Source organism: Homo sapiens, chromosome 6, assembly GCF_000001405.40.
Source record: "Homo sapiens chromosome 6, GRCh38.p14 Primary Assembly".
NCBI classification, from domain to species: domain Eukaryota; kingdom Metazoa; phylum Chordata; class Mammalia; order Primates; family Hominidae; genus Homo; species Homo sapiens.
Genome location: NC_000006.12, coordinates 14,369,358 through 14,390,046, shown reverse-complemented (window position 1 = coordinate 14,390,046; position 20,689 = coordinate 14,369,358). Strand labels below are relative to the sequence as shown.

The following is a 20,689-nucleotide window of genomic DNA, read 5'->3' as shown; positions in this document are numbered from 1 at the left end:
GACCCTGCATTCTGATGGACCAGCTGGCACCACCCAGACCAGTAATCTGGGTCAACCTGTTCTGCGATCCTATCCAGGAACAGAAGATAGCAGGAAGAACCTGCTTTGACCCTCTGTGATTTCATCTCTGACCCAACCAATCAGCACTCCCCATTCCCTCGCCCCCTGCCTGCCAAACTATCTTTAAAAAACACTAGCCTTGGCTGGGTGCTGTGGCTCATGGCTGTAATCCCAGCACTTTGGGAGGCCAAGGCAGGTGGATCACCTGAAGTTGGGAGTTCGAGACCAGGCTTGCCAACATGGTGAAACACCATCTCTACTAAAAATACAAAAATTAGCTGTGTGTGGTGGCAGGCGCCTGTAATCCCAACTATTTGGGAGTCTGAGGCAGGAGAATCGCTTGAACCCGGGAGGCGGAGGTTGCAGTGAGCCAAGATCGTGCCACTGCACTCCAGCCTGGGCAACAGGAGTGAAATTCCATCCCAAAAAAACCAAACCAAAACAAAACAAACAAAACCCTAGCCTCTGAATTTTCAGGGAGGTTGATTTGAGTAATAATAAAACTCCAGTCTCCCAGTTAGCCAGCTCTACCTGTCTTAAACTCTTTCTCTATTAGAATTCCCCAGTCCTGATAAATAAGCTTAATCTGGGCAGCGGGTAAAATGAACCCATCAGGCAGTTACAGGATCTTAGGCAGTTGTTACTGAACTGAACTTGGGTCCACTTACCCAACATGAAAAAAAAAAAAAGCCAAACACTGACACTGAAGTTTGCAGCAAAAGAAACTGAGGCATTTATTGCAGAGTTCCAAGCAAGGAAGATTGGGCAGCTCACACTTAAGATCCAAACTCCCCAGTGGTTTACAAGCAAGAGTTTTCAAGGGCAGGGGTACATTTCAGGAAAGCAGAAGTTACAGGCAAAATAGTAAATCAATACGTAGAGGTTAAACATTGGTTTGGCCCAAAAAGGCAGGATATCTTGAAGACAGGGCTTATAGGTCATACGTGGATTCAGAGATTCTTTGATTTGCAATTGGTGAAGGGAGCAAGGCTTCGTCTAAAAACTTAGGGTCGGTAGGAAGCAATGTTAATTAAGGGTTTGGCCTGAGGGTGCGACTCTCTTGAAGCCCGTCAGGAAGAAATTTAGAACAACAAACACTGGTCAGTCCTCACTGCCCCATTATCTGAGCTCTATGTGACAGCAGTTGGCATTTTCCACCTGATGGGGGTCTGGGTATCTGAAAAGCGACTCAATAACATATGCTAAGATATGATCATTAGAGTCACAAATCACCTTGTGACTCTAACTTGCTTGAGACACTATTGCTTAAATTATTACTATCTTCTTGCTTATTAGGATGTTCATTAACTTCTCAAGGCTAGGTAGGTGCCTGGAATTTTCCTTGAAAAAAACTCAAGATTTTTCCTTTATTTCTCTGGAGGCCTCTAAGAGGGGTCCCTGCTCCATCTCGCAGTCACCTTGCCTCTAGGAACCCCCACCCCCGTTTCTTAATTTGTCAGATAAGGCAGTGAGTGGTTTCAAAGTCCTCTTCCAACTCTAAAATGTTAAGATTACCTACATATGGCCCAATAGTATTACATTAGGTCAACTTGGTATTTGCATGTTTGTCTTCAGAGGTAACAGAGATAGAGGGGAGGGAATGATGTGACAAAGACTCTGATCTTTTTTTTTTTCTCAGACAGAGTCTCACTGTCACCAAGGCTGGAGTGCAGTGTCGCGACCTTGGCTCACTGCGAGCTCCGCCTCACAGGTTCATGCCATTCTCCTGCCTCAGCCTCCCGAGTAGCTGGGACTACAGGCGCCCACCACCTCGCCCTGCTAATTTTTTGTATTTTTAGTAGAGACAGGGTTTCACCGTGTTAGCCAGGATGGTCTCGATCTCCTGACCTCATGATCCACCTGCCTCGGCCTCCAAAAGTGCTGGGATTACAGGCGTAAACCACTGTGCTCGGCCAAAGACTCTGATCTTAACCAAACTTTAGTCAGGCTTCTCTAAGCCCTCTAGACCTTGACATTCAATATCTGTCCTCGTTGGGCTTGCATCACCCAGTTTTAGCAAAAGCAAAACTCTTGTCAGTTTAGAGAGAATTCTTCACTCTCAATGTCAGATCACCCTCTATAGCTGACCAAATTCCTCATCTTCCATTATCCCCCAGTGATATCTGATCACCTTGGCCTGTCTTCAGCAAGAATCCTATTAGGTCAGTTTAGCAAAACTCCCCCTACCTTGGATGTCTCTTCTTCATGTTTTCCATCCACTCCCCATCCCACTCCTATGCTCCTTGGCTATAAATAAATCCCCATTTTTCAGAGTTGAGCCCAGTCTCTCTCCCATACTGCAAGACCCCTTTACAGTAGTTCCCTTCTTGAATGTGGGATATGATGAGGTTTCTCTTCAAATAATCTGATCAATCTTTTATTCTTTAATTCATAATCCCCCCCTACATTTTTCTCCTTTTTTCCTTCTTGCCTTTGTTAAATGCCCAGGCATGCCACAGTATCAAGCATTATCAGTACCAGCTCACATTCCTTTCCTTATTAAAAAAAAAACAACTAACTTTCTGGCTCATTACAGACACCCCTTCCCCTTCCCCTTCCCCTCCACTTTCTTTTACGTGCCCACCCTATCTAGAAAATATCAAATGTTTAGCCAACCGAAATTAGTTTAGATTGTATGACCCGACCCCGGCCAATGGGGAAAGGGTACAGGGGCAAGAATTGTATCAAAAATAAAGGCTCTTGTGCCTCTTTGTTCAGGTGTGCTCTCATGACAACTGGCCAAGGAGGCACCCCTCTGCGCAAAAATAAAATTGCTTTACTAAAAATCCTTTGTTCAAGTGTTCAATTTCCTTAGAATTTTAAGCGTTATTCCTAACATTGAATAAAGTCTTCCTTACTGCCTTTAACAAGTCTCTGAATAATTTTCTTTCATTTAGCAGATGTGAGAAGTTGTGAAAGAAAAAGGCCTATTCACCATGCTTCTTTATGTCCACCAGGAACCCCTCTGTGGCCTCCTTATCAGTGCAGCCCACCCTTTCCAGGGTAAGGGGACCACACTGACATGCCCTGGCGTTTTGAGGGGTGGAGAGGAGAGAAGGGATAGATGTCCATTCAAGATTGTCAGCTTTTTGATATAGTCAGACCACAGTTTCCAATTGAAAAGTGGTTTTTGCTTCGTTTTCTTCTGGTTTCTATCTCACTTTACAGTTCTTGGTGGTTGTGCCCAGCAAGTTGAAAGGAGGAAGTTGCCCCTTTTTGTCTTACTCTCCGATGTCTTCAGGGAAGAAACCACGTAGCAGCTCAGACCAGAGACTAGAAATTGTCTCTGAGCATCTTATTAGATTACATATTAAATGTGAAGGTGTACAAGACATGCCACCCCAGAATAGACTGCTTTGGTACATTGATTATTTTAAGCTGAAGGCGCTTGAAAACAGCAAATCCAAGGAAACACTTTCTCTGTACTTCCCTTATCGGCCTAAAGACAGAACCTCCAAAAGGAACTCAATTGTTCCCCACCACCATCCTGGTGAGTTCCATCAACAAGGAAGATTAACTCTTATCACAGGAGAGGAGATTAGAAGTCCACATTGCCCCACTGTGGTTTGAATGTGTCCAGGCCAAAATCCAGGTGTTGCCAATGCAATGGTATGAAGAGTGTGGGGCCTTTGGGAGGTGAGTGGGCCATGAGGGCTCCTCCCTGGTGAATTAGTGCCCTTATAAAAAGTCTGGATGGAAGGAGTTTGACTCTCTTGCCTTTCCCTCTTCTGCCATGTGAGGAGGCAGCAAGAAGGCTCTCTCCAAACACCAGATGCCAGCCCTTGAACTTAGACTCTTCAGCGTCCACAGCTGTCAGAAATAAATTTCTGTTCTCTATAAATTACCCTACCTGTGGTAGTTTTTTAGCAGCACGAAAAGGGGGAGGATATACCCCCAGATGAACTTTGTCACCGACTATCATATCTCCCATTTCTTCTTCTTCTTTTTTTTTTTTTGAGACGGAGTCTTGCTCTGTCGCCCAGGCTGGAAGTGCAGTGGTGTGATCTCCGCTCACTGCAAGCTCCGCCTCCCGGGTTCACGTCATTCTCCTGCCTCAGCCTCCCGAGTAGCTGGGACCACATCCCATTTATTCTTCTAAGGGCCCATGCATCTTCCTAAAAATCATTTCCTCTCCCCAACGTCACCCACACCACCACTCTACACACCTTCCCCTATGAGGATGGCATATAAACTCCCAAATCTCACTGTCTTTTTAGGTAGTCGCTTTTTTCCTGTGATGTTTCTGTGTATACCTGTCTTCCTGTTAATCTGTCTGTCGTCAATTTATTTCCTAGGCCTAGCTGTCAAACCTAGGAGGGTAGAGGGAAAGCCTCTCCCATCCTTACATATGCAATATACTATGTATTATATATAGCACCATTGACAGTGTAATGCATCTGTCATCATATATTCTATATAGCTCTATAACACAGTTTATTATAGCTACAATTGATTTAGTATTAACTATGTACCAGGCTTGCTATAATGTATTTTTCTTACGTTTTCTCATTTAGTTTAGATAATGTAGTTTATTTAAATGGCAATTCCAAATAACATACAATGTTAATTTCTTTCAAAGATTTATTCTGTCTTCAGCATAAAGAAATTAAGACACATAGAAAATGGCCCAACAATAAGAATGTCCTCAAAAAATAGATGAGAATAATGACTTAGGGATTATTACAAATCCTAACCCTTCCTGTCCCCTACCACCTCCTCCCATTCACCCTAACCAAACACACACACATCCTTAAAGGTCTGGTATAAAATAATTCAGGGATCCCATTATATTCTAAAACCTTCTCCGCTGGGATAATTGGCTTTGGAACCTCCCTTTTCCCCACGACTCTCTCATATGCCAATATCTCCAACACATAGATAATTTATGAAAACAGAGTAGACACTTTTTAATAATTAAGTGATAGATAATAGGAGCTTTTAAAATAAGCTGTAAGAGCTTGGAAAAGGAATGGGGGTTAGTCATCTGCATATTTATTTGGAATGACCCAAAAGGCTATTCATTTTATACCCCATTATCTGCAACTGGAGACCCCAAGAAGTTTGCTTTCTCTGCTAGCTGGGGTATTTTCCAGCAGGCATTTGGGAGCCGCAGTCAGTGGGAGGGAGAACTGGAGAACCAGATGCCTGCCCCAATCTAAATCACCCGTATCACCCACTCTATTCTCTCCAAATTACAGTGCAAACAATAACACAGGTAAAATTAGCCAAGATACTAATTATGTAGTGCAAATGTGTAAAGGATATAGAATGATAAATGGCAAACGCAGAACATGTTGTGTCATATCTTGTAATCTCTCTGGCTACCGAGCCCAGGAACAAAGGGAGAATTGTGCTCTGTTTGTCTAACATGCTCCATATCACAAATTGGAAATCCTTCCTAATTAAGATATTGTTAAATGTCCTTTGTTAGCAGATTTTAACAATGTTAATTAGGAGGTTAGAGTGATCATTGTTCATCTAGCAAACAATTAGGGTGATTTGCACTGTAGCTTTTGAGAAACTTCTCAGCAAATCAGGAGTTTCCTCTCCACAGAGAGGGGAGCAGACCAGAGAAGGAAGAGGACAGGCAGGAGAATGGGCAATGTTTTGCCTAACATTTTTAGCTTACGGGCCAGGGTAAAGCATGAGGAATTGTTAGACATGGGCCTAGTAGCCATTGAGATATCAGTGTTGACCTTGACCTGGTGGCATCACTGTGTTTGCAGATGCGCTATTTATCCCCAGTTCAGGAAAGCCTGGTCAGAGAAAGTGTATGAAACAGCAGGAACCCCTCTCAGGAGCCTTCCAAGCTACACCTCCCCACCTAGCAAAAAACAAAGGGAAAATTTTGAGTCCCTTCAAGGGAAATTCCAGGCACCTAGCTAACCCTACAACCAGCAATTAAGGAAGTAAATGAATAACCTGCTAAGCAGGAAGATAATAGTAACTTAAACAATAGCCACCAAGTAAGCCAGAGTCACAAGATGTTTGCTTCCCTATAGAAACTAAAAGATATTATCTTGACGTATCCTTGAGCTATTTTTCAGAAACAGGAGCCCCACCAGATAGACAATGTTGACCACCGTCACATAGACCTCAGATAAGGGGGCACTGAGGACTGAACTCTAACTGATGTTCTTTGTTCTAAATTTCCTCCTGAGGTGCCTGGAGAAAGTCACACCCTCAGGCCAAAACTAAACATAGCTTTCTGCTAACCCCAAGTTTTTAGACAAAGCTTTGCTTCCTTAACCAATTGCAAATCAAAGAATCTCTGAATCCACCTCTGACCTGTAAGCCTCTGCTTCAAGATGTCCCCCTACGAAGGGCCAAACCAATGGGTAACTTCCTTGTTTTGGTTTACAATTCCTTGTATTGGCTGCATGCCTTCCTTGTCTTGGTTACGACTGCAACTATACATTTAATGCCTTTAAATGTCCATTTCAAAGTACATTTCAGGAAAGCAGAAGTTGCAATTGTAAAAACCCTTGCTTGTCATCCGTCTGGGAGTTTGAGTCCTAAGTGTTAGCTGCCCAGTTCTCCTTGCTTGGCACCCTGAAATACATGCCTCTCTTTCACTGCAAATACCAGTGGTGTTCGTTTTTGGCTTTTGGCTTTTTCTGTTCACTGAGTGGGTGACCCAAAGTTTGGTTCAGTAACACGCAGTTTTCAGGTTTCTTAATCGTCTGGTCAAGTGAGGGTATCTTCCTAAGGCAACAAAAACAATGCCACGCCAGCCATATTTCAACATTTTCTGAAGTTAGAATTTTATTATTTTTAGCAGCAGATGAGCCTGGGCTCCTTCTGCTATAGTCTCCAATCCCTGCCACTTCTATGCCCCCAACATACATCTGCATGATAAAAAACACTTGACAGTCTTTTTTCCTTTTCTTTCTTTCCTTTCCCGCTCCCCACGGCCTGATACTTGTAGAGGGATGTAAGGAGGGAGAGAAGGAAGGAAGGAGGAAGGAAGGAAGGAAGGAAGGAAGGAAGGAAGGAAGGAAGGAGGAAGGAAGGAAGGAAAAAGGAAAGGAAGAAGAGGAAGGAAGGAAGGAAGGAAGGAAGGAAGGAAGGAAGGAAGACAGGACTTTGCATTTTGCTACTTTGAAACTGGAAATACAAGAGCAAAGTATATTTTGAGAGGAGGACAGAACTGGCCATTTGAAAACTACCAGAGGACTTTAGTTGCTTTGAGAATCTCATTCTCTCTTGGCAAAGGTGCCCATGCAGAAGGAGGGCAGGCAACCCAGTGAGAAGAGGGATGGGATTGGAAATCGAATGCAAAGACTCTGAGTTCTATTCTGGGTTTCACCAATGATTTCTCATACAAACTCAGGAAGTCACTTAACTGAAAGTCACACCTGCTTGGAAATGGCACTAAGTTTCTAACCACACACACCCAACACTTGGGGAAAAAAAATCCTAATAGCTCTCGGCAGCTGCTGGGTGCCGGGCACTGTGCTAGGCGCTTTACATAAATTTAACCACAGCCAGCACTTAGCTTCAACACTGAGGGTCCTGAGGCCAATTTAAGTGGCTCTCAAGTCTCTTTTATCCTTGCGGGGCCCCATCTGCTGGGGGAATAAAAAGCCCTTTTATGTTCTACAACCTCACAGACCACCCACCCCAGCAGTTTGTGCTTTGTCACAAAAAACCCTCCATCTAATTAACAGGGCACAATTTTAATGAAATATTGAAGTAAATTATTCATGCCTGTCAGTAATCAAATATAGATGGGTCATCTTGTAAACTGTTACAACATCTGTCATTTGCTTTAAAGTACTGTAGCGTAGATAATGTGATGTCACGTACATATCAGTTACCTAAAGCCACAACCTAAGTGACAGTAATAGGAATTTACCTTGTAGGAATCTACCTTCAGCCGTGTTCTTATCGAGCAAGTTCAGAAATGGGTATTCATTGGGTATTCACTGGGGAAGCCGGTGGCATGTTCATCAGCATAATGGCTATTGTAAATGGGCTCTCACTGAGGAAATTTGATCTGAGTCATATGAAGTTCAGTATGAAGATGAACCCAGTTTTCTGTTTCTTTGCACTGGCATAAATATGTATTCAGCTGTGCCTCGGTGTTCCTGGCCTGCCCTATTTTTTCTCCTCAGTGCATCCACTGCCTAGTACAGAACAGATTTTCAACACACATCCCTTGAATGAAAGAGAAAAGCTACTCTGTCACAACTGGGGAAAAGTTAAGTAGGGTAGAAAACCCACCGACCTTTCTCAAGACCTGATGGAAAACCTTGGCAGGTGAATATTACCCCGTCCAAATTTCCAGACAGTGCTCTCAGGATTTCCTGTGTTGCCAGTAAACCTTTTACTTCCATGAAGAACCTTTGGTCGTCTTAAAGCGGGTCAACTTTTCCAGCTGTCTTTATCCACGGGCAGCACTGACGGAGACCATAAACTCATCCAAATTTAGGCACACAATAAACTGGAAGAGTGGAGAGGGTATTCAGGCTATGAAATTCTGATGGCTCATTACCATGACAAAGGTTGTAACAACTTGGACAGGAAGCCGAACAAAAGGCAGCCACCGTTCTATTTACAATTCTAGGATTGTATTTGTAATCTCTCTTTGCAGGAGAAAGAGACCGCCAGTTAAAAAAAAGACTGAAACACAATAGGAAGAGAGAGTCCACAATGCTGAGAGACACCAAAGGGATCAGAGTATGAGCACACACACTATGTGTGTATTTCTTCTCTGTGTATGTACACAGTCGATGAGAGTAAATTATTGTCATGGGTAAGGGTTTAACATTATTGACCCATGCGATGGCTTTTAAAAAATATATGCCACATGGCTGGAATGCCAATTTGAAGTGGAGAAGCATTTAGGAAAATGAATAGGCTGAGCTGGAGTATTTTCATGGAACAGAGCAAGCCTCTTTAATTTGTTCACTGCAGAGAGCCTGAGAGTAAGCCAACATTGTAACCTGCTAAGTAAAGCACCATGAACATGATTATTAATGCAGAGAAGGGAGGCTCAAGAGTTATTGTGCTGTGCAGGTTTTGGTTTCAGGAAGGCAATAATTGTTCCAAAGTCACTGACAATTTTGGTTAACAAGTGATACAAATGGATCGGGTCCGTTGGCCGTTCTCTGGGGGCCCTCCCACACCCATAGCAGCTAAACTCTGCAAATTCTGATTCATTACCTTTGACTCCCCTTTTGTTACCTATCTAGCCGGTGTCGATAGTTGGGAAGTGTGTGGTGGCAGGGACCATTCAAAAGGGCTCCCCTGCCTCACAGTCCCTGGAGCTCGAGGAGCAAAGACATTGCTTTTGTTCAGATGGAAAAGAATGAAACCCACGTTCTAGCCTATTGTCCCGCTGCAAGCCAGGCTTTTTAATTGGCATGTTGGAGTCAGTAAAGAGGTGTGCAGTGACAGCTCAGAAGTGAGGCATCATGGGGCAGCAGTGACTTCACCTCCAGTTTAATCCTGGTTGGAATTTTTGTGTGCTGTTACTGTTCCTGGCTCCTAGGAAATGTGTGTGGTTGCTGTTACTGGAGAGGCAGATAGGGCTGCACTTAGATTACAGGGTTGCACTTAATACGTTGCATTAATCCTGTGCTCTGATGCATCGATCCTTTCTTTCCCATCCACCTCTTCGGCCCCTGATAAACATGAAGAAAGTTGGTGCCTAACCACACTTCTCATTCTGCTTCCTCTGGTTTCCGTCTTGTTAGGTGCACATGAATAAAAATGTCACTTTGTCAATCCCCTTTATGCTTGCAAAGTGCCCCTCATGTGAACACCTGAGGATGAGACAGACAATTAACATTGAGCAATTCAATGCAACAAACATTTATTGAACCTCTGACTGTAATTGATCGAAGGTCTTGAGTCATTAACAAAATTGCTTTTGTGACTTTCATGACAAAGTCAAGGTGATTCTTCCAGTTAGCCATGTGAGTGTGTGTTTATGTCTGCTGGTGGTGTCTAGGACGTTTGGTGCTGATGAGTATATCTAGTGTAGGAGACCAGAATATGCCACCCCAAAATATGCCTTTTTAGCATAAGGATTATTTTGAGCTGATTATTTCGAGAAGCTGCAGACACAGGACTGAAAATGGAGTATAAGTTACCCTTTTGCAGAGGAAATTTGCATCTATAAAGGAAATCTCCATTTGTAATCTCCATCCCTCTCTGTACCAGGAAGGGAAGAATGACTAAATCGACTCATCAATGGAGAAGGCACCCACATAAATTTGCATAACAACCTTGCTCTTGTTTACCCTACTTTTCCTAGATAACGCCCTATTAGTGGGCTTTCCCATGTCCTTCTTTGTTTCACTTGAAGAATATATTTAAGCAAACTACTCAGAGTCCTGTGGTCCATGTCTACTCAGGGGGGCATCAGCCTACTGTCTATTAACTTGCATTAAGACTGGCTCTAGGGTTTCTCTGATCTGATTTGATGGAAGGTCACAGTATGGGTGATTGTGGAGAGTATATTCCTACTATAAAAGTATTCAATTTATGAATTCTGGAACTGGAAAATCTGGTTATCCTCACCTAGCCTTCATTTCACCCAGCCTGCCAATCCTCAAATACTAAGCATCATTACTTTTTTTATACACATACATGTATTCTTAAGTCATCTGTCTCTTAAATCACCTTACTCTTAGATAATGCAGTATCAAATTTATAGTAGAATGGTGCATCAATGGAGGGAAATATATTTAATTTTTAAAAAATGCTAAAATGAGAATTTTCTTAAAAGCCAAAGGGTAGGATTAAAACAGTTTTTCTTTTTCTTAGTACTTCAGACTTGTATTTTTGTGAAGAATTTTTCTTGCAAGCTTAATTCTGAAAATAGAGGATTCAGAGGTATTTATTATTATATGGAAGTAACATAAGCTGATAAACACATGCTATTAAAACAATAGTACTTGTATTAATTGGTGTATTTTCCTAAAGAGCAGCTTGTCAAGATGTATCAAAAGCTTCTTGAAAATGTGCACACTTGTTGACCTAGTAATCCCCTTTCTGGAGTTTATCAGAGAGAAATAAATAGATGAATGAACAAAGACTATTTAGACAAATGACCAAAGACATTTATTGTAGACTTGTGTATAATGGGGATAAATTTGGAATGTTTTAAATGTCTAGTCATAAAGGATTTGTTAGGTAAATGATGGTATATTTACACAATAGAATATATGATGACAATTAAGAATGCTGTTGTAGTAGAAGAATATATATTATCTTGAAATAATTCACCCAGTGTGTGATCAAGTACAAAAAGCAAGTTCTACAATATTAGGTAGAGTAGGTGAAGGGTGGTGCCAGATATGCCACCCCAAAATATGCCTCTTTGGCATATGGATTATTTTAAGCTAGAGGCCATTGAGAATCAGCAGACACAGGAAAAACTCTAGAAACAGGTCAAAAGTTTTCCTTTTAAAATTGTAAAGGATGTCTCCCTTACCCGTACCAGAAAGAGGAGGACTTTTAACAACTCTCATTAATGGAGAAGGCACTGACTTAATTCTGCATAACAAACTTCAATAAACAATCCTTGTTTACCATACATTTCCTAGGTCTCTCCCTCCCTTTTCCTTGTTTTAGCCTAAGACAGTATATAAGCCCTCTAACCATGCCTTTGGTTTACTCATCTTTGGGTGCTCCCATACGTAAGCATAATATGCATGTTAATAAGTCTGTTTGTTTTTCTCTTGCTAGTCTGTCTTTTGCCAGTCTAACTTATAGGGCCTCATCTGAAGAGCTTAACATGGGTGAAGGAAGAGCTTTTTTCTCCCCTATGTAGGACCCCATTGTAAGAAAATAATGGGAATATTGCATGTAAAAAAAATAACAGCAATTACTTTAGAATTGTGGTATTATAATTAAATTGTTTTTTTAATCAATGTAGCATAAATTTTTGGCTATAATCATGTATTCCTTGTGTAATTCTTTGAAAATAATTAAAACCATACCAAAAATGCTTAGATTTTTCTGTCTTTCTTAATTTTAATGTGAAGTGATACCTTCCACCACCATTTGGTAAAACACTAAAACTGGAGTTCATGAGAGACAGCGGTTAATTTTATGTGTCATCTTGTCTAGGCTATGGTGCCTAGTTGTTTGGCAAACACTTGTCTAGATGCTGCTGTGAAGATATTTTTTCAGACGTGATTAACTTCAAATCAGACACTTTGAGTAAAGCAGGTTATCTACTCCAGGAGACAGAAAAAAATCTTTGTTCTCTACCCTTCTTAGGTTCTCCAGCTGAGGCTCTATAAGACTGACAAAAGACAGATTAGCAAGGGGAAAACAAACAGATGTTTATTAACCTGTGCATCGCACATACACACGGAAGCACTCAGGGATGAGGAACTCAAAGGGGTGGTTAGAGCCTGGGCTTGTATACCATCTTAGGCAAAAACAAAGGAAAAGGGGGTTAGGGCTTCAGGGGAAAGGGGATAGTTATGGGAAGGTGACCAGGAACAGTATGATGAGCAAGTGTTGTTTATTAAGGCTTGTTACGCAGATTTAAATCAGTGCCTTCACCATTAATGACCATTGTTAAGAGTCTTCCTCTTCCTGGTACAGAAGGGGATGCCTTTCACAAAAGGAAATTTCCTTTACAAAAGGAAAACGTGTGACCTGTTTTTAGAGTTTTTTTCTGTGTCTGCTGATTCTCAGTGGCCTTTAGCCCAAAATAATCCATATGCCAAAGAGGCATATTCTGGGATGACATATGTCAGCACTCTTCACCTCATAACCTGGGTAGCCTTCATCCAATCAGTTGAAGGTCTTGATAGGAAAGACTGGGGCACGCTGAAGAGGAAGGAATTCTGCCTCCAGACTGCCTTTGGACTTTGGGACTCAAGACTAACATATCAATTCCTGCTGGAATTTCCCGACTGCCTGGCTGTCCTGTAGATTTCAGACTTGCCGGTTCCCATAGTCATGGGAGCCAATTTCTTAAGATAAACCTCTTCTCTCTCTCTCTCTCTCTCTCTCTCTCACACACACACACACACACACACACACACACACACACACACACACATATTGATCAGTTCTTTTTTCCTGACAACTTTGACCAATACACCAGGCTAATGCAAAGTCATTTGCGTAAGGAATTCTGATGCCCTGGAAACAGAACATTGGTGACTGAGTTATCACAGAAGTTGTATTGATTGGAATTGGGCAGCAACGCTGCCTGCTTCATCTCAAGTGACTTCCATTTGAGGAGAGATTGGCTGCTCAGTTGTGCTTGCTGGTTTGGCTGGTGCACTGAATTAATGGGGTCAAATAAGAGCTGAACTTGACTGGCAGATGCCAATTGGCTTTCAACAATAAAGACCTCAGCGCCAGCAAGGCCTGTGGTCCCTTCCCTGGCTGTGTGGAGCAACAGACATCCTTGATGTGCTTGCTAGTCGTGGCTGCCACATCAGGAGAAGGTCTCAAAGCTTACTTAAGCTATACCCTCATTAAAGTTTAAAGCTGTGTGATCCAGAAACACAGTCAGCCCGGTAAGGATTTACTTGAAAAATAGACCGTGAAGCCTTCTGAGGGCAGGGATGTTGTTTAACATTCCATTACTTCGTCAGCATCCAGCACACTCCCCAGCACCTACTAGGACTTCAGTTAACTAAAGAAATGCTAAATAAATAGATGAAAGAAAGAATGAATGGGTGCTCTGCAGATTTAAGGAAAGTCAACACAGGCTTGGAAAGGAAAATCCAACTTCAGAGGCTGTCAGGTAATGTCCTGCAAGGATACAGGTATGGCCACTTTAATTGGCACTCACATTTCATTCTCAGCCATGTGCAGTGAACTGGGTGGGTGACGTTGTCACATTATCATTGTATCACACATCTCACCTCAGATGGTTCCCAGTCATTCTCTCTATAAACCACAAGTAAAGCAACCAAGGAAAAAATCTGCAGTGAAATAGCAGAAGTTTCTACAATGTAGTTTCATTTTGTTAAAAAGTCAGGCAGAGGAAGCTATAAAAGTTTGGGAGAAAATTGGAGCAGATGCAAGGAATACTGTTTTTGTGTGTGTTCTTAAGTAAGGTAATTGAAGAGATGGCAATTGGCAAAGGGGAAATACACATTTGTGATGGATTCTCCAATGAGCAAAAAGCAAAAATGAGGCAAACATCAGTGTGTGCTTGTCTGTTCCTTCGCTTTCCTGCCTGGTATATTCCCATGCCACTGTTTGCAAAAAGCCCTTGGTAGGTGATCTATTAAACAAAACATTCAAATCTGACATTTCCAGAAAGGCAATTTCCTTTATACTTCTCCTAGCTGTGACCCCATATTTCTCCTAGCCTTCGACCTCCCTTTCATTTCTGTTTTTACACCATATTTCTTCAGCTTCTTTTCCTACCACTCAAGAGTTATAAGTTCCCAAGGTGTTATCAATCATGCTCAGATATTCTAAGGTAAAAATGAACACATAGTCTGAAAAGTGTAAATGAAGCCATGCCACGGTGTGGTTGGCTCCTTTCAAGCAGAGGGCAAGATGGAGTTAGAAGGTGAAGAGATTTATTGAAGGTAACATCATGAAGGATAAAAGTAAGAGGGAGCAGGGGTGATCAGGGAAAGCCTTCAGACTATCATGCAGATCTGATGTCTATGAAAGAAGAGGGATGGGCCACCGCGGTGGCTCATGCCTGTAATTCCAGCACTTTGGGAGGCTGAGGCAGGCGGACCACCTGAGGTCAGGAGTTCGAGACCAGCCTGACCAACATGGAGAAACACCGTCTCTACTAAAAATACAAAATTAGCCAGGCGTGGTGGCAGGTGCCTGTAATTCCAGCTTCTTGGGAGGCTGAGGCAGAAGAATCACTTGAATCCAGGAGGTGGAGGTTGCGGTGAGCCGAAATGGCACCAATGCACTATAACCTGGGCAACAAGAGTGAAACTCTGACCACCCCCCCCACCAAAAAAAAAAAAAAGATATGGATTAGTGAGCGTTCTCCAGAGAAACAGAACTAATTAGAGATGGTTTGTTTATTTTACGGAATTAGCTCATGCAATTGTGGAGGGGTGGCAAGTCTGAAACTTGCAGGACAGGCAGGCTGGAAACTCAGGTAAGAGTCAATGCTACAATCTCAAAGCAGATTTTCTTCTTCTTTGGCAACCCTCAGTTTTGCTCTTAAGGTTTTCAACTGACTAGATGAGGTCCACCCACATTATTAAGGGTCATCTCCTTTACTTTAAGTCAAGTTTTTACAGTAGGTTGTCAGGCAGACGTGAGCAGGGTAGGAGAGCTCCGGTGATCCCACCAGGGACATTGGGCAACCATCAGATGATGGTCAGGCAGTTGTTAAACTGATTCTCTGAAATGGTAATTGGTCACACTCAGCATCAGGGAAAAGTAGTCTCCCAATAGAAAGAAAATACCTGAAGCTGGTGATCAGCAGCTTCCCCATAAGATCTCAGGAGTTGGGCAAGTGGGCTCAAGCATGCACCCTAAGAGGCAAAATGGTGGGGTTTACCTGGTATATTATTTTCTTCGAAGAACACTCAACTGCTAGGGGAAAAACACCTCAAGCAAGCATGCACGCAACTTCAATAAACACACTGTGCATGCGGCCCCTCCCAAGGGCTGGCAGGCCACTGTGCATGCAGACAGCCCACCCCAAGGGAAGAATCAGAGGAGAAGGGATGCAACCCCCTGGAAGCCTGCCAGTGTAGAAGACCCCATGTCAAAGGTCAAACAGTGGACTTGATCTCTCGAGTCACCCACTTGGCCCTCTTTCAAGTGTACTTTACTCCCTTTCATTCCTGCTCTGATACTTTTTAATAAACTTTCACTGCTGCTCTAAAACTTATGTCGGTCTCTCACTCTGCCTTTATGCCCCTCCGTCCAATTCTTTCTTCTGAGGAGGCAAGAATTGAGGTTGCTCCGGCCCCATACAGATTCGCCACTGCTAACAAACTGACCATAAATGCTAACCACATCTATAAACACATTTATAGATACACTTAGATTAGTGTTTCATTATATGACTGTGCATTGTCACCTAGCCAGGTTACCATGAAAACTAACGATCATAAGGGGGAAAGGGAGGAAGGTAGGGTAGGAAAAATCTTCACCTACAGGGCAGCTCTGAGAGACTGTCAACCAGTCTAATGAGGAACTCTGGAGCAGAGTCCCACATCAGGTAAATATTGGCCAGGCCATGAAGCACTCACCATGCTCAGCCATTGCCTGGGGGCTACCCAGGAAGATCTGGGGGAAGAGCATGGCCTCAGTTCAAATGCTGTAGCAGATCTTGAAGGCACTGCAGCTGGAGGTGGTCCACCCACCATGCCCCTGACCAGAGACTAGAAAGAGATCTGGGACATAGAGTCACTGTAGATTCCCATCTTTTATTTTCTTCTCCTACCTTATTCTGGTGCCTAATTTCCCCTTTTCATGTTGGCCATGAAACATTTACATTCAGGACCTTCTCTCCCTTTTTCCCTTCATTCTGTTCCAATATTTCCTCCAGTTGTCCTCTCCCACTCTCTTCCTCATTTTTTCTCCAATTATCTCCCAGTTTCCCTTTGTCCTATATAAAGTCTGCTGTCCTACCTCCTTTTCCTGAACTTCCAGAGGAATAGGGTTTGCAGGAGCCCCAGACCTGCTGGTGTGAGCTGGGGGAGGCTTCTCAGCATCCCTTCTGAGCCGTGGTGATGAGGGCAGGCTGGCACCAATCCAAATGCATGCTTAAATAATGGGCACGCCAGTGCCAGAAAATTAAAACACAGCATGGAATTGCTGAATTCACAATTTTATTGTCAGCGATTGTCTGGTGGCTCTCAATATTGAGAAAATCTTCACAGCTTCTTCCATTTTCCATGACTTGGTTAATGTGCAGATAATTCTAGTGGTAAACTTTTTATTTCCCCTAAAGCTTCCCCTCCTTTCTTTTTCAACCAGGCAAATAAAATCACAACTGTAACAAAGCATGCTTCATATTTCATCTCATCGTTCACATCTCGTAGATAATGATATTCAATATCTGGAAGGTGCTTGGAAATCACCTTGGAAATCACCTTACTCACACTTTATAGATAAGGAAATCATGGCTAGAGGTTGTCACGTGACTTGTTCAAGGTCACATAAGGAAGTTGTGGGGAAAGCAAAGTTCCTGACCGCCACCTCAGTGAGTACTAATGTCCCCCTTCTGAGGGGTTCAGTGAAGAGATAGATAGGACAGATGCCATTATTTTCCATTGACACATAAGGAAACTGAGTCTCAAAGCTTCCCAAGGAGGAAAAGCCATAACCATTTGACCCATTTATTACTGTTTTCAACATTAATAAGAAAAGATGCTGTCTTTTGCTAAGCATAAGAATAGTTAGCTTCTTCATTTTAATTAAAAATGAAGTCAAATCCTGTTTTTGGTGACAACTTATACACAAAAATATAGTCCTTGTTGGAAAAATATTTATCATTTTCCTAATCCTTTACAATTTTCAAAGTCATCCCTTTTTTGTTACTTCAGTTGCTCAGCACTTGACCCAGGTGGCAGGTAGGGTCTTGTATTGAGAGCCCCATTTTTATGATTGAGGAAACCAAACCTCAGCAAGTAAATGATTTGCCCAAATCTCATAATAAGTGAAGAAAGCAGGACTTGAAGGCTGGATTTTTTGACAGCCAGTGCTCTTTTTTCTCCTGACTCATTAACTGGCCTGTGGATGCTGGAGATCTCTAATGGAATAGTCTTATTTGCAAACATGGAGTGACATTAACATCTTGCTTCAATTTAGCCACTTCTTTCTACACTTAATGCCATTATGCTGGTTCCTGACTCTATCATTTCTATATGGGTCAGTGCAACAGCCTCCTAACCAGCCTCCTTGCCTCTGCCCTCGCTGTCCTCCAATCCATGTTCCATGCTGCCATAGCCTGCAGCCAGAGTGACTTTTCTAAAGCAATCACCCCTGCACTCCCAAATACGTGTATATTTATAAATTATGTGCACGTACTCCTGCGACTATATTAAGTTTATGGGTAATAAATCTATTAGAAAATTTTAAAGGTTACATTTTAAACAATGTAGTTAAAGGATCTAATAGTTTCTTCTTATTACCTTACTTTAGAGAAAATTGTTCGGAAGCACAAATATGATTCTTCCCTTGCTAAAAATCAACACTGTCCTAAGATTAAAATGCAAACTGAATGTGGTTTATAAAGCTCTTCAAGATGCAACCCTATTTCTCAATTATAATTTCTTGTGATTCTCACTCTCAATTCCACTTTCCAATTTCTCGCTGTTCATCTCTCTGCAGCTTTTATCCCCCTGCTGTTGACTCTGTCTGAAAAACACTTCTCTTTCCTCTGCTTCCTTCTTCTTCTTCTTCCTCTTTTTGTCCAGTCAATACCTACTGGTCCCTCAGGTCTCAAATTAAGCCTAACTTCCCATGGAATGCCTCTGAGACAAGATCAGGTGCATCTCAGCACCCTTAGCAATACCTATCACGTTGAAAAGTCACTTTCATTTTCTCCTTACTTGTCTTCATTTCCCAGTGGACCATCAGCTCCTTGAGGGTAAAGCATGAGGTTTGTTGAGTGTTGCTCTCTAGTGCTGTCAAGTGCCAAGTATGTCAACAACTACAGGTATTTGTTAAATGAATCTGCAAATATCTGCTGGCAGCCCAAGAGTTTCTATTGAGTGGAAAATAGAGACTGTAACCAGCCCATCCATCATCCAGGCCTCATGGGGCATCATATTTTTGACACCCACGTTCTCTTTTACACTGTCTGCCAGGGAATCTTTCCCTTGTCTGGGAATAAAATATAGGACATTCCCCACAACTTTCTGTTCAGTCTTAGCAATAGAAAAGTCAAACAGTTCTTTGAAGTCTCAGTCATGTCTCAATTAATTTAGAAATGAATGATGTCCAGCCCAGTACATCAAGCAAAACTTCAATACTCAGGAAGGTACAGTGTCCCTATTTTCACCAGTCACACTGCCTTTCTTTGGGGAAGAGGATATGGTTGGCTTTTTTGCTTTCCTGGCTAATCTTGTGAGGGCCCTGGAGGTTTGCTGAAAATCACTAACATGAGGTAGATTGATTAATATGAGAAAAAGCATCCAAATTTATTTAATGTGTATATACAGGAGGCTTCAGAATGAAGACCCAACCCCACACTGAGGTTCAGAAGCTAATATACCATCCTGACAAAGCAGGCTATGGGAGGGAGAGAAGAAGGATTCTGCTGAGGGGTAATAAAAGATTACTAGGGAGAAGGAATGGGATAAGAGAGGAATAAGAGATTAACTTGTAAATAGCTCTCTGACAGTGAAAGTCTTGCTCTGGTATGGTTATATTTTTGGCCTTGGAAGCAGAAGAGAAAAACAATTGTTCTCCTTGGTGAGCATGGATCTTAGGCGGATAAAGGAACTTCAACTTCTTTGGAAGAAACAGTGGGAGAGGGAAACTGAGCCTTCTTCAGTTCAATATGTCAAAGCACCATTATTTTGGAGTTAGTTTTTGAGCCCCAACAATCTTCTACTCCATCCACCAGCTGGAGTGCAGTGGCGTCATCTCAGCTCACTGCAACCTCTGCCTCCCAGGTTCAAGCGATTCTCCTGCCTCAGCTTCCCAAGTAGCTGGGACTACAGGCGTGTGTCACCACTCCCAACTAATATTTGCATTTTTAGTAGAGACGGGGTTTCATTATGTTGGCCAGGCTGGTCTCAAACTCCTGACCTCAAGTACTCAAGTAATCCATGCACCTCGGCCTTCCAAAGTGCTGGGATTACAGGCGTGAGCCACCGCGTCTGGCCTCACCAGCTACTTTCTAACCTGACGGGTAAAATGGTTGGGTAGAAAGGGATGGAAAGGAGGGGATAGGGTTCAGGGCATGCCACCCCAAAATATGCCTCTTTGATATAAAGACTATTCTGAGCTGTCATTTTGAGAAACTGCAGACCAAGGAGAAGCTCCAAGAAGTAACCCCTTTATGAGAAACATTTACACCTCTACAGGAAATCTCTATTATCAGCGTGTCTCCCTCTCTGCACCAGAAAGAGAAGGAGGCCTAAATGAAACCCTTAATCTACGGAGAAGGCATCAACTTGAATTTGCATAACAAACCTTCCCTTCGTTTAAGGTGCCAGTCACAGCCACTTCAACCTGTGTCCCCACACCCCTTTTTCCTTGTTTCAGAGAATGATGGCATTTAAGCCTGAAGTCTAAGATAACTCTTTGAGATCTACTCTAGAGATTTACTCATTTTTTTCTGGGCTTTCTCCCATCTATACAAGAGGTATAGATGTTATTAAACTTCTGTTTGTCCTCTTGTTAACCTATCTTTTGTTACTGGGAGTCGCAGCTAAGAACCATGGAGGATAGAAAGAAAATGATTTTTCCTCCACTAGAGGGGACAGTAAGGTTCTTAATTGACTGATGCTGCCATAAGATGACACCACAGCCTCCAGACCTTATAAATGCTTCAAGTTGACTTTGTCTTGTGGGCACTTTCATGTATTCTCTCTTCTCACCTCTTCAATGCTTTCAGGATGTCTTCTAAAACAGCCCAACGCCAATATTGCCAAAATGGGCTGGTCCCTAGGAGTCATGCAATGTTGACCTGCCTTTGGGGGAGTGTAATGACACAACCCTCTCTCTGGGCACCACTGGTCACTAAAGC

At 42.5% G+C, this 20,689-nt stretch overlaps 3 annotated features.

Annotated features, from left to right (window-relative positions):
- Nucleotides 7,904-8,447: an enhancer, noted in NCBI's record as "OCT4-NANOG-H3K27ac hESC enhancer chr6:14381831-14382374 (GRCh37/hg19 assembly coordinates)". NCBI's record gives its function as "activates a minimal SCP1, AML or CMV promoter by ChIP-STARR-seq in naive H9 embryonic stem cells {active_cell/tissue: H9 hESC(naive)}" and the evidence as "EXISTENCE:reporter gene assay evidence [ECO:0000049][PMID:30033119]".
- Nucleotides 8,448-8,989: an enhancer, noted in NCBI's record as "OCT4-NANOG-H3K27ac hESC enhancer chr6:14381289-14381830 (GRCh37/hg19 assembly coordinates)". NCBI's record gives its function as "activates a minimal SCP1, AML or CMV promoter by ChIP-STARR-seq in naive H9 embryonic stem cells {active_cell/tissue: H9 hESC(naive)}" and the evidence as "EXISTENCE:reporter gene assay evidence [ECO:0000049][PMID:30033119]".
- Nucleotides 9,315-9,609: a silencer, noted in NCBI's record as "tiled region #8710; K562 Repressive non-DNase unmatched - State 21:Repr". NCBI's record gives its function as "represses a minimal TATA promoter and a strong SV40 promoter by Sharpr-MPRA in K562 cells {active_cell/tissue: K562}" and the evidence as "EXISTENCE:reporter gene assay evidence [ECO:0000049][PMID:27701403]".